The 14,205-nt window shown below is 37.6% G+C and overlaps 1 long non-coding RNA gene across 6 annotated transcripts in view, besides 1 other annotated feature; it reads left to right on the top strand.

Annotated features, from left to right (window-relative positions):
* SLC12A2-DT (SLC12A2 divergent transcript) overlaps positions 1 to 14,205 on the top strand; it is a 142,736-nt gene that overhangs the window by 72,228 nt on the left and 56,303 nt on the right. The window lies entirely within an intron of this gene.
* Positions 1,083 to 1,781: an enhancer, noted in NCBI's record as "OCT4-NANOG-H3K27ac hESC enhancer chr5:127344859-127345557 (GRCh37/hg19 assembly coordinates)". NCBI's record gives its function as "activates a minimal SCP1, AML or CMV promoter by ChIP-STARR-seq in naive H9 embryonic stem cells {active_cell/tissue: H9 hESC(naive)}" and the evidence as "EXISTENCE:reporter gene assay evidence [ECO:0000049][PMID:30033119]".

Raw genomic sequence — 14,205 nt, 5'->3', positions numbered from 1 at the left:
TAGAGTTGTGTACTATCTCTTCCAATAGTCATAAATCCTATAATCACTGATTCTTGGTTAGGTGGCTGGTAAGTTACATTTAGCATTAAGGCATTAGCAAGCACTGGCACAGAGTGAATGTGTGTGTTTTTGGTTTTGGAGGAAAAACAAAACGATTTGGTAAACCTCTATTAAACACTTTTTAGTGGTGTAATTCTAAATATGGTTCAGTTTACCCAGCTTTCTTTGAAGAGACTGCTGGAAATCCTAACTTGATGTGCTGTTTCCTGAATCCTGTGCAGTTGTTACTAGGGGCTTCAAGAAGTAGACATAATTCAAGAGACCAGTGCAAATTATAGAAGAAAAAGTAGCAGCAATGTCAGGTTGGAAACAGGTATGAGGCTGCAGAGAAGTGGTAAGATCACAGTGCAAGAGGTTGGGAAATAAGGTAGGATACATGACGGTTTAGGAAACAGGGCCTGGACAAAGAAAGAGTGCTGGATCTTGTTCTTTTTGAATGCTAGTTATACACCTGAAAAGGGAACAGGCAGGTATCAGTGCTGAGGGGCAGATCATGGGCTTAAGGTTGTAGAACTAAATTAGACTCTCAGTCTAGTTAGAAAAAGATGATAAGACTTGGCACAAAGAAACGTCAATATTCATCAACCTGGATGATGTTATAAAAGAAACATATGCCCATGGATTTAAATATATATATATATATATATGTTCACGGATTTAAAAAAAACAATTAGTCACATTTGACAGCATATTGAGGTTAAGGGGGTTTCATAACCTTAATCTAAGTATAAACAGATGGTTTTGCTGCTAATTTATATATGGACCTTGTTCCCAGATACTCCATGACGGAAAGAAGACCAAAGATTAAAAGAACACACACACACACATCTAATGGGGCTCCTGAAATCTCCAGCTAAATCCTTTTATTGTAGAATATTTGGATAGTGATATCAGGCAGGCCTAACTTGAGAGGTCTTCTTGGTAATGGTGAGATGAGCATACATTCTGAAAGATTTGAGTGACATAATAAATTGCAAATATATTCCAATATGAAGAAATGTGGAGGAAGAGGCTGGGGAGCAGGTGCTCTGAAAGCAGGAGGAGTCTTCATGCTGTCTCCTGAGAAGAATTATTTTCCAGATTTCTCTAAAACCCTAGCTTACTAACACTAGCAACAGACAAGTAATTCCCTAGTCAAATAAGAAATCCTCCTGGAAAAGGAGAAGAAAGTCCTCCCTTGAGGGCTTCAGCAATGTTCCTTTCTTCAGGAGCAGCTCCCTCCAGCAAGAGTCCTGCTTATGATTCTCCCTTGGGTCAGTGCAGTCTTGTTAACCACCTGCTGGGCCTGCTAACTGCCTCTCTGCTGATTTCCATCCTAAACAATGGCTCTCAAACTTTGGCTGGCATCAGTCACTTGGGGGGTTGGTTTGTAAAAGCACAGATTGCTGACCCCACTCTCAGAGTTTCTGATTCAGCAGGTCTGGGGTGGGGCCTACTAATGTGCATTTCTAACTAGTTCCCTGGAGATGCTATTGCTACATCTTGAAGAAATGCTGCTTTAATATATACAGTAGAAGTATTTTTAAATAGTTGTTTATTAACAAATATAGATCATTTTCTGTAATCCAGGGGTACACTTACAAACCACTTTTTACTGCTAGATGCTGAGCGTTTAAAATGTTTCCAAAGATCTCTGAATCACAAAATCACAGAAGCTCAAGTGTTGGGCATTACCTTACGGAGCCAGATTTTCTAATTTCGTCTTCTTCCTTTCTCTCTCTCTCTCTGTTTTTCTTTTTTTCTTCTGAGACAGAGTCTCACTCTGTTGCCCAGGCTGGAGTGCAACGGCATGATCTCAGCTCACTGCAACCTCCACCTCCGAGGTTCAAGCGATTCTCCTGCCTCAGCCTCCCAAGTATCTAGGATTACATGCGTCCGCCACCATGCCCAGCTAATTTTTGTATTTTCAGTACAGACGGGGTTTCATCATGTTGGCCTTTCTGGTCTCGAACTCCTGACCTCAGGCGATCCACCTGCCTTGCCCTTCCAAAGTGCTGGGTTTACAGGCGTGAGCCACCACGCTCGGCCCTTCCTTTCTTTATGAAGCTTTAAATACAATTTCACCCTTTATGCTGCAACTCAGTATCTCTAACTTTGTGGTAAAGAATCAGTCTTCCTCTCTGGCCAACTGTTTTATCAGTAAATGGCTTGTTTTTTACCTTTTTTCTTCTTCATAGGTAAGGATGGTGGTCTACAGAATACAATAACTTTTATAAAAACATTGTAAATAGACAGGATATTATTAGAATCGGTCCTACTTATGATCACCTCCCTTTTCAAAAATATCACTGCTCAGTGCTAGCTGGCTTTCTGTTCTATTTTTTGATTTTCTGTTGTTTTTCTGTATGGGTAACATAGTATAATTCTTGCAGATGAGGATCCAATGTATTTCTTCTTTTTATAGTTCTTCTGAAAACTTTTTTTTTCTTTTCTGTAAGTTCATAACATGTTAGTATCAGAGGGACTTTCTATCACAAGGTCTCCTTACTTGCTTTTTTTCATTTGTTTACATTATATTTTTAAAACTGTGGCAAAATATACATGTCATAAAGCTTATTCTTTTAACCTTTTGAAAGTGTATAAAATATATTTAACATAAAGCTTATTCTTTTAACCTTTTGAAAGTGTATAATTGAATGTTATTAAGTATATTTACAAGGCTATGCTATCCATTTTCAGAACCATTTCATCATCCGAAACAGAAACTCTGTACTCATTAAATAATAACTTCCCATTCTCCACTCTCTATGGCCCCGGTAACCTCAATCCTACTTTCTGTCTCCAAGAATTTGCCAATTCTAGGTACCTCATATAAATGGAATCCAACAATATTTGTTCTTGTGTCAGGCTCATTTCACTTCATTTACCATAATGTTTTCAAGTTCATCCCTGCTTGCTCTTATAATCTGTATTTCTTATTGGAGCTTGCATTTTTTCTAGAGCCCTTTTCCAAAAGAAATCTCTCTTCTTTTTATTTTATAATCATCTTCCCTTTTTTTTTTCTTTTTAACTGAGTCTACTTATCATAAAGGTATGGGTTCTGGAATTGTTTCTGTTTGGTCTTTACTAGCAGGTGAATAGAATTCTGTGTGCTGATTATTTATTCTGTGACTTGTGCAGAGTGTCTCTGAAATCTCTGCTGTTATCTTATTCCATAGCCAGCCACAGCAAGTAGAGTTTTCCCAGAACATTTCAGGAGTGTCTTAGAATTTCTCCAAGAGGTCTCTTTCTAGTTCCTTCTGGAAGTAATCTGTAAAGCTGAGGGCCTTATAAATAGAGGGAAAAAATACCTGTTAGAAGCTGTATTGATTGGACTTTACCTGCAAGGCAGCTGCTTCTTTAGCTTTCTGTCGTTAACATGGTTATTGTTTTTTCTCACATATTCAGTAAATAAAATAAGTAGATGCTACTGTTATGGAAAAGTTTAAAAGACAGTAGAATTTTTAAGTCACTAACTGTATTTTGTTTCATAAACCTTTGCCTTACATCTGACAAGGCAGCAAGCACATGACTCTCTGTCAAAGGCAAAAAAATAATAAAAGTCAACAATCTTCTGATAGATATAGTTAGAAGAGGGTGACATCTTTCTGTTATCTATGAGTTCAGCCTGCATATCAATTTATTAAAGTTGTGGAGAATTAAAGGTTGTCTCCAAGCAAAGTAAGTAGTACAGACAAACCACTGCCTCAAAAGAAACCCAATGACAGTGAATTCCTTTTTCATCACTGCAAGTCACACTAACTTACAACTGCTTGAAAACAAGGCTGTGCCCAACTACTACCCAACTATCAGTTGGACAATATCAAGCATCCAACTAATTAAAAATAAAGATCTCATTAGTGTATATATGTATGTATTTTCTATTTTTAGTCTCCAGTATATATGTGTTGTTATATATATATACACACATGTACATTAATATATATACAGACACACACACACTGTGCACACATGATTTGAAGACATCTAAGTAGCCACTAGTTCCTTCTTTTTACCTTCTTTTAAAACATTGCTTATTAGTACTAATTAGTGAATGATGTTTAAGAAAATAGTATTTTTAAATTTCCTTTTGTATATGATAGACTCTATCCAGTTAGAAAGAAAGAGACTATGTGTTATTTTTACTGGATTTGCAATTTAATGGGCCAAGCTTGGATTCCTTTCTGAGTTCAAAGTTACTTAAGCAAAATGGGAAGCACAAATAGCATTGTGTATACCTTTTATAGGCAGATAAAATAGAAAGTACTTTTACAGAACCATCAGCCTTACACATACATTTTGCCTCAATTCTTGATATTACATTTCCCGTCCAACATTATGCATTGAGAAAGTTATGTTTAAAAAATGGGCTAACACTACAGAACCAAAGAATGAAGAGATGATTATAAGGATGGAGCTTTAACTCCTTTGCCTTTCTTGAAACTCCGCTAGTTAAGAACTTGAAGCATCCAATCCATGTTGCTGTTGAATTTTCCAGAATGGAAATTTTTAATTGATATTAAAAAGAAAGTTTTCTTTCTAGTTATTTATTCTCTAGTACTGTAAGTACCACAGATTCTTTCATTCCAATGTAGTCAAACAAATATTTGAAGGACACTTTGTCAAGCCCTGATTGCTAGTGGAAGATGAGTAAGCAGAGTTCCTTCTTGCAAAGTGTTAACAATTTGGCAAAAGTAAAAGAGGAATAAGATGAATGTACACATATGGTTAAGGTAAAGCAGAAATGCCAAGGTATGGTACAAAGTGCTGCTCAAAATGTTTTAGTCAGGAAAGAGATCAGGTGCCCTTGGAAGGATAAGAAATAATTTTAGGCCAGGTGCAATGGCTTACACCTGTAATCCCAACACTTAGGGAAGCCGAGGTGGGCAGATCACTTGGGGCCAGGAGTTCGAGACCAGCCTGGCCAACATGGAAAAACCCTGTCTCTACTAAAAATACAAAAATTAGCTGTGTGTGTTGGCACATGCCTGTGATCCCAGCTCCTTGGGAGGCTGAGGCAGGAGGATCACTTGAGTCTTGGAGGCAGAGTTTGCAGTAAGCTGAGATGGTACTACTGTACTCCAGCCTAGGTGACAGAGCCAGAGCGAGACCCTGTCTCAAAACAAAACAAAAAAACAAGAAAGAGAGAGAGAGCGAGAGAAAGAAAGAAAGAAAGAAAGAAAGAAAGAAAGAAAGAAAGAAAGAAAGAAAGAAAAGAAAGAAAGAAAGAAAGAATAAAAGAATTTTAGATGGCAGCATTTGAGATTGGTCTTGATTCTCAAAGTTTAGTGTGCATCAGGATTACCTGGAAGACTTGTTAAAACACAGATTGCTAGGCCCCATACTCAACATTTTTTATTTAATACGTCTGGAATGGGGCCCAGAATTTATATTTCTAACAAGTTCTTAGGCGATTCTGTTACTCCTTTTTCAAAGACAACTCTTGGAGAACCACTGCTTTAGAGAGATTAAAAAGGAGTGGAGAATGTTCAGCAAAACAAAAGAAAATGAGCAAATTTGAGAGGCAGGAAACTGAAGGGTACTTTAAATAATAATAATAGTAATGACAAACAACTAACTTTTTGAGTTATCTCAATTTTGCCAATGAGGGGATTAAGTTTCAGAGAGGGTAAAGAATGGACTTGAAGTCATAGATCTAATTATTGGCAGAGTCAAAATTTGGACCCATGGAGTCAACAATTCAGAACCTTATATCTAATTGCCATGATTAATAGTAAGAGTTAGTACATCTGGATTGACACAGGCATTTTGTGAAGCAGTAATGAAAGTTAAGACTTAGGATACAGGTTGCAGTTGTATTTCAGAGGGCTTAATGCCATGGTAAGGAAGTTTATACTTAGGATGTCAATAGAGATGTATTAAAATGTTTTAGCAGGATTAATTACTTGAGTAGCAATGAATATAATCAAGAGAGAGAAAATAATGGAAGCCTAGTTAGAAGCCTTTTATAACAGCCCAAGTAAGAGGAAAGGAAGGAATAAACTAGGGCATTTGCAGTTGGAATGGGGTAGAGGGTATGGAGGTAAGAGCTATTTTTGTAGGGAGGCTATAGTGGTGATTCCCAATCTTACCACCAACTGTGATTCCGTGATCCAAAAGATTTGGTTTATGAAGCAAACTATATTTAACTAAACAAAGATAAACATGTTCCATTTGAGATTAGTATTTTTCCCATTATGGCACAAATCTAGATTGTAACTAACAGTTCATAATCATCAAATATTAAAAAAAAAAGTCACAGCACTATCCTGGTTGTGGTAATGATAAGCGCCAAACTTGAACAAGGGAGCAGAAATTTTAAAATATTTTACTGCTTTGTGTATCAGATCCTTGTTACTATGCCCACATCCAAGGTCAGTCACATGATCAACATTTTAAATTTAAGTCTGATCTACGTTCATGTTTCAGGTATTCTTCTGATGCTATCAAAAGACATTGTAATGTTTTAATAATCCTTAGACAATAAATGTTACCATACTGATATAAAATAATTTCAGGCCGGGCACGGTGGCTCATGCCTGTTATCCCAGCACTTTGGGAGGCCGAGGCGGGTGGATCACTTGAGGTCAGGTGTTCGAGACCAGCCTGGCCAACATGGTGAAACCTCATCTCTACTAAAAATACAAAAATTAGCTGGGCTTGGTGGTGCACACTTGTAATCCCAGCTGCTTGGGTGGCTGAGGCATGAGAATTGCTTGAAACCAGGAGGCAGAGATTGCAGTGAGCCAAGATTGCACCACTGCACTCCAGCCTGGGTTACAGAGCAAGACTCTGTCAAAAAAAAAAAAAAAATCAGCCAAAGCAAAGAAACCTGTGTGGTTTTATGGGTAAATATATGATTTAAACTAGATATTTTAAAATTGAATATATCTTTCCTGTCTTTATGGTTCTAAAACTACAGGATTTTGCTACTTGATAATGTGTGTGGGGTCTAGAAGTCAAGGAAGACTCTCTAGGTTCAGGAAGAGGATGGAGTATTGATCAAAACAGGAAGGTCAGAAAAGAACCCCTCTGGGAAGAGTTGGTGCTGAAGATGAGATGGAGTAAGAGAGGCATGTTGGGCTGTCAGTTTCACTCAGGACCCATGGCAGAATATTGCTACCAACGGACCATAACAAAAACAAGAAGAATTGAAACATTTTGGAGGCCGGAAACACCACATTGATATTTCTCTCCAGTGTGAAATATTTTAACCTGAAAAACTTCTAGATGCAATTTTCAGATAAAATAGGCCTATTCTAATGGTAATGTAAAAGTTACACTTATACTTTCTGTCACTGCTCATACCTGTAAATCCCATGGGGGGAAAGTCATGATTTCCTTTAGACATAACAGTCGTAGCCCACAAATAAGCCGCCATGAAATAGTCAAGCAACAGGCCTCCAGTAGCTGCAGCTGGAGAAAACACTGGATAAGGTGATCCAATTTCTGCACAAGATCTAGTCTCTCCTCCATAGTAGCGTTTAGCCTGGAAGTCAGTCATTCTCATACTGTCAAAAGCCAGGGTCCCAGAAAAGGGAATCTTTACAGAAGCAAATATTTTATGGAGGACTTGAGAGAGTGTCTCTCAATGTTTAAGTATCTATTCCATAGCAAATTAGGAACAACAATAGCTAGAGTTATAAATACAATTCATTATGTGTATTTTGAAATTGAATTTTGAGCGATTAGCATAAAAATACTGAATATGCATTGCAAATTAGCATGCCAACCTTGCTAAATGAAATAACAGCCCTGACACGTACTTAAGTAGAAAGTGGAACTACACAAAAATGGAGGAATATCAGTAGATAACATGTAAACCAGGACGATGAAAAAAGAGGACACAAGTAAGATCACTGCGGGTATATTATTCTTAGCTACATATAGCTAACTGAGTCACCATTTTCTAAGGAGGAAAAATTAGAAGGAGTGCTGAAAGGGAATAACTCCAGACTGTTAATTACTTACAGTGAATATATGTTTGCATATATTTGCTTAAAGTAGCTGTTAAGGAAGCTCTATTTAATTTATTTGTCAGTGTGGGCTGAGTCATCAACAACTATACTTTTCACTTTTTTCATAGAATCCAAGACAAGAAGAATCTTTCAAGTGTTGCTAACCAGAACTGAGCAGATCCAAGTAGCAATCGTAGCCAAGCCATTAGTCCATGTATGGAGAGACCAGAGAGGGCATCCCCACGTGGTGATGCCTCAAGCTTCAGGAGCACTCGACCAGAGTCAGTGTAGCCCTTGGCAGCTGGTGAAGCACAACCTGGGACAAATGGAAGCTTTAGCAATGAGCCGATAGGTCAAGGCTAACCAGAAAGAATGCAGCTGGGTAATGCAAGCTATCCTATCTTGTAATTAAAAGGGTTTTCTGTGTGGTTACCTGACGTAGTTACTAAATGGCTTGCATGAAATAACATGCAGCATTCTGCAGTTACTGTGCAATTACCTTATATCATCACCCTACAGTCAAAAGACAAAAAGAAAATTCAGGGTGAAGCTTTTAACCGCAATTTGTAGCAAAGATGTTTGGAATAAAAACACATTGCTTGTTACCACTGGCTCTTGTGTTAATCACCTAATTGCAAATTGGTATAGACTTTTTTTTGTCTCTTCCCACAGGCATTCAATGGCTCAATTTTTTTCCTTCCTGTTTGGAGGCATGGAAATAAGACTAGTGAACCATGGGACTGTATTCGGAACCCATAGTTCAAAGATAAAATATAATATAAAAATGGAAATGTTCTGTAAAGCAATATATAAATCTTTATTCACAGAAAAACCTATCAAAAACTTCACATTCTGGAGAAGACATTTTTGAATATTGCTTGAATATTCAAATTCAATTTTGAGTATCTTTGAATATTGCTTTCCTTTTACCATGGTCCATTCTGGCATTTTGACCCTCGTTTCTTAAAGAGAAGCAGACTTAAATCCACATTTTGCTTACTATATTCTATAGGTGACTGTTACCTTCTACTAACGGAAGTAACAGTAACCACTGGTTGTTTTTGGTTACTGTTATTATATAGACCAAGAGAACAGTCTGTATCGTCATCCCTGGCACCTAGATGTGTGCCATTCAAGATACTCACACAGAATGTACAGCCTTATCAGGTGGATGAAAGGGCATAAGTAAACTAGTGTGAAGTAAGCTAGTTAGCACAGTGTTCTACCAAAGGAAAGGGACAAATGCACATATGGGGTTCAGGCAGTTATCTTCCATCTTCCTTCCTCCTCCTTTTTATTTTTAAACTTCCCTCAAATGCAAAATGTTTGTTATAGAAAATTATATCTGTAGTGATGAAAGGTATAAAGAAGAAAACAAAAATAACCCTTTCCCCCACCTTGAAATTAATGCAAATACTATGCATTTTAAAATTCTTCCTTTTTCAAGATTTATTATTTCTATTTTTCTATGCTTCTGAATATATTTATTTCATTACATAAAATGAATGTATATGTTCATCAGTCAGGAAATATTTTGAGCCTATAAGGACTAGTTTTGACAAAGACAAATTTCAGGTCAATACGGTGTAGGGATTACAGATGATCCTTTTATGAACTATTGGAAGGAAAAGAAAATGCAGAATTGGTCATCTTATCCAGTTGTCACATAACATAGGACCAGGATGTGTATATATATATATATATATATATATATATATATATATATATATATATGTGTCTCTGATTTTTATGTTTATTTTTTTAGTCTGGTTGAAATACTATGATCACCTCCATTTTGGCTCTATTCCCAGAATCTTCTTCTTCATAGCTCTGGGTTATATATTTCAACTAATTATCTTAATATATTTATTTTATCTTCTAGTGTATTTAATCCAAAGTTTATGTTTGTAAAAAACAAACTTGTCTTATAAAATGTAACCTTGAGGGAAGAAACAGCACACATCCAAATAATGAATAAGCAGGGTGAAAGACAAAAGAAAAAGCTGTGACTGCAGCTTGAGTTTGCAATCTTACCTGCTCAGTTAAAACCCCCTTACTTTCTGAACCACACAAAAAGAACTATTTTTGTTGTTTTAAAATCACAGCTGAACATAACACCAATGAAATAATTTCATTCCTAGCAGCTAAAAAAAAAAATCTAGTGTCTCTAAATCAAACAGAGCAAGACTCCATCTCAAAAAAAAAAAAAAAAAGATTTTCCTCTTTCCTCTTTCCTCTTTATAATGGGCTGAACTTGTCATGTTGTAATTCAAAGGCTTTCTAAAAACTAACCTTATTGAGTGGATAAGGTGATAAACCTCATTGGCTCTGATTGAAAATGTAAAAACTGAAATGAAAATGTTGAAGGCAGGAAACAGGTTTTTGTCAATAAATTCACATGGGATGAATGAATTAATTAAAATTTATCCAGTTTAGGCCTTCTAGCCTTTCACAAATAGTCACAGGTTAACCTGGCTCCCAGACTGATTTTCCTAGGATACCCTTAAATCAAGTGTCTTAGCTTAAGAGTAAACCAAATTCACCCAACCTTTAGGTACATATAAACAAGTCTGAAAAATTTGCAGAGGAGGTAAGGAGTATGTTGTATTCATGAGTCTTCTGAGCAAAAAGAAGGAGTTTGACCAATACTATAGAAAAGGGGTGACACTGTGTCTTCCCCCTCAAATTAATCCTTAATACTCAGACTAATCCCTGGTATATACATGTAACAGGTTCAGTAACTTTGCCAGAAAGTGGACTAGAAGCTTCAGTAGATGATGGCCTTGGCTGCAAGTATTGCACTCTCAGCTAGACACGGGTGGTGGCTGCTGCCTTTGATGTCCTCAGTAGGAGGAAATATTACCCTATAAAAAGGACAGGAGAAGAGAAGCACTAGCAGGGGGTCACCAAGAACATTAGTTTGTGGAACACAGAGGAAGAAGTTCTTGAGAAGCCTCATACTTCTTAGCAGAAACAGAAGCTGAGTCAGGAAATATTGTTTTGTGATCATTGTTTTGACTATATATTTATTCTCTGGCTGTGGTGACCTAGGAAACATGGATTTTCCACCAGCTTAGAGTTTGTGCTAGAATAAAGATGACTGAAGTGGGTGAAAAAAATATCTGAGACATTGAAACATGATTATATATGCATTTTAGACAATATTTATAGTTCAGATTTAAGTGAATTGGTTGTATATTACTGATCTGCATGGTTTAGTTCAATGTTGGGCGGGAAATGTGACATTAGAATGTTTATCAACTGATAAAATGTGATTTATTAAAAATATATGGTGTGAAGAACATTGTTAAATGCCATGGAAGGTTGACATTAGAGGGAAGCAAGACATGTGTGGCAAATTCCTACCTCTACTAAATGTATGCATGTTTTTATAACCAGGACCATGGAGTTATGCAATTGCCTTTCTTATGGGCTAAATGACTATCAGTAATTATTAAGAGTTGTTGTAAATGATAAGAATGTCTTTCAGGCTTACTTTGAAAAGGCTAACTATTGCTGGGTCTCCATAAGCATGCACTTAGATAGGGATTCGGAGCCCAGATAGCTGGTAGAAGAGGTCCAAAGGACGGCACCATACTTCAGGAAATACAGCTTATCAGGAGAGTATGCTAGATGCAAGGGCCTTGAGTTTTGTTCACTGCTGCAGCCATAGCTCCTAGAACAAAGACACTCACTAAGTATTTGTTGAATGCATGAAGAAATGGACATGCAGTGGGGGCATCTCAGGTGGCTCAGGCAGCAGGGGAACCAACCAAAAGCAAATTATGTGAGCATGACTCAGCTTCAACTGAAATTAGAAGTCATCAAACTAGAAAAGGCCATATTATCTTCCCCAGGAAGCAAGGAAGACAGTTCTGGTCTGGGGTTAACTAGAGAGGAGTATTTAGATCAAGGGCCACTGAGAAAAATTGATAACCTAATGGACTATTCATCAGCTATTTATGTCTGTTGCCGAATAACAAAGTTACCCTAAAACATATCAATTTATTTGGAACCCAGGAGCAGCTTAACTGGGTGGTTCCAGCGCAGGGCCTCTGATGAGGATGCTGTCCAACTGTTGGCTAGGGCTGCAGCCATGTCAAGGCTTGACTGGGGTTAGAGAGTCTACTAAGCTCACTCCCACAGTTGATGGTGGGCCTCAGTTTCTCATTGGCTGTTGGTAGGCTGGCAGGTTCTTGCCATGAGAACCTCTACATAAGGCTGCTCAAACATGGCACATTGCTGTCTCCCAGAGTCAGTGATGAAACAGAGAGAGAGAGAGAGAGAAAACATGAACAGAAGCCACAGTCTTTTATAATCTAATCCTAGAAGTGACATCTCATCACTTCTGTATTCTGTATTCTGTTGCTTGCACAAACCAATTTTGGAACATTGTAGGAAAAGACTATTCAAGTGTGTGAGTAACAGGAGGCAGTGATCTTTGGGGACCATCTTAGAGGCCAGCTACAGTAGTAGCTATGGGGACTATTCCAAAACAGTATATCCCCCAATAGAGGAAAAAGTGAGCCAATCCTAACCCTCAAGGAGTTTATAGTCTATGGTGGGCTATAGAAATTTTTGAATAATTATTAAAAAAATTAAAAAGTAAGCTGTCAACAAGTTCAAAATAAAACCCCCAAATCTCTCTTGTAGGTTTCTGCTATAATATTTGAACTGGAATGCAGACTGCTCTGAAACCCATCCAATTTGGGACCTAAAGTCAGAAATTTATTTCCAGTCTATTATCTCTGAATCAGTTTCATCTGCCCATACTGTCAGGAGAAGCAGAAAGGAGTCATCTTTTCAATTCAGCTTTTATTAGCTAATTTTCTAGACAGGACTGAGGGTAAATCCTTTTGGTCACTCCAAACCCTCATTTTCTGGCTTACCCAACCTCTGTTTGACATTAGGATTATCTTCACTGTAGAGGCTCCCTCAAACCTCTAGTACAGTCTTTATTTTAAAAAAGCTATATTTCTGTTTAGAGAGCATTACCTCCACTCCAGTTTTATAGCTTATGCAAATCATTCAAAAGTCATATGGCAAGTGAGGACATGCACCTGTGTCCTGGTGCCACTAGAGAATGTCTGCTTCAAGCAGGCAGGACTCTTCTGTGGGCCGAACACAACAGACCATCCCCTGTGTGGAGTGTTTTTGTCTTCTCAGGGCTTGGTGAGGTGTTGCTTTTGGAGCTGCTGCATTCCACAGGGGGAAAGATCTGCAAAATAAACAGTTCTGGACTAAGAACTACAAGATCCATATTTGAGCACACCAATGGACTCAGTCCAGGATTCAGCTTGGACAGCTTCTCCTGTGTGGATGAGGCTGGATGAGCAGCACTCCATTATCTTTCACCAGAGCCAGCCTGGCTACACCACAAGGAGTTAAAGCTTTCTCTCTGCACACAGAGAAGCAATACCGGAGCAACCGAAGCTCTAATTGCTTCTCTAGAACCAACAGGGGGATCGGTAGATGCAATGACCTAATAGTTTTTTTCCACAGCTATTGTTCTGATTGCATGAGAGCTATTCGTAGTCCTTTAATACAAATTTTCCAAACCCTGGCAATTCTCATGATGTAGGCTAAACTAACCTTTAAGCCATTTTGTTCCTTAGATCCTTGAAGCCACTGGACAATGAAAGTGCAGATTGCTAAACTTCAGCTGGTTTATAAAACCGCATGGTAGATAACAATTACAATGGTCTTTTCCATTGCTTAGATAAGCTCTGCTGGTGTGGATTAATAAACTTGATCTCAGCATTCCAATGAGGGAGTGGCTTTATTAAACCAAGTTTGACTCTAGCAACATAATTTTTTACAATAGAGTTAATGTAGGAAAATCTGATTCTTACTTAAAGGGATAGTGAAGTTATTTATCAAAATTTTGCTCTAATCTAAATTCTAATTTGCTTAATACATAGTCTTCAATAAACCTAATCATATGGACATTTTCCAATCACAGTTGCTAATTACAGAAGCCATTTCTGCCAACTTTCTGGGGGCTAAGAAAGTCATGATTGAAAGGACAGTTTTTACTTAGGTCCCTGATGAGAGAGAGTAAGTAATGCCTTCATTTAACACATGACAAGGAAACAAGTAAGTGTTTTTGGTGAACATATTCTTCTACTTCTCTATTTTTCTTTGTTTCCAACAGTTTATTTCTGACAAGTTTCTCATTGGCATGAGGTAGAAGTACTTGTCATAAACC

The sequence above is a fragment of the Homo sapiens genome, chromosome 5 (assembly GCF_000001405.40).
Source record: "Homo sapiens chromosome 5, GRCh38.p14 Primary Assembly".
Classification (NCBI taxonomy): Eukaryota; Metazoa; Chordata; class Mammalia; order Primates; family Hominidae; genus Homo; species Homo sapiens.
Note: the sequence above shows the minus strand (reverse complement) of the source record. Positions and strands in the feature narration are given on the sequence as shown.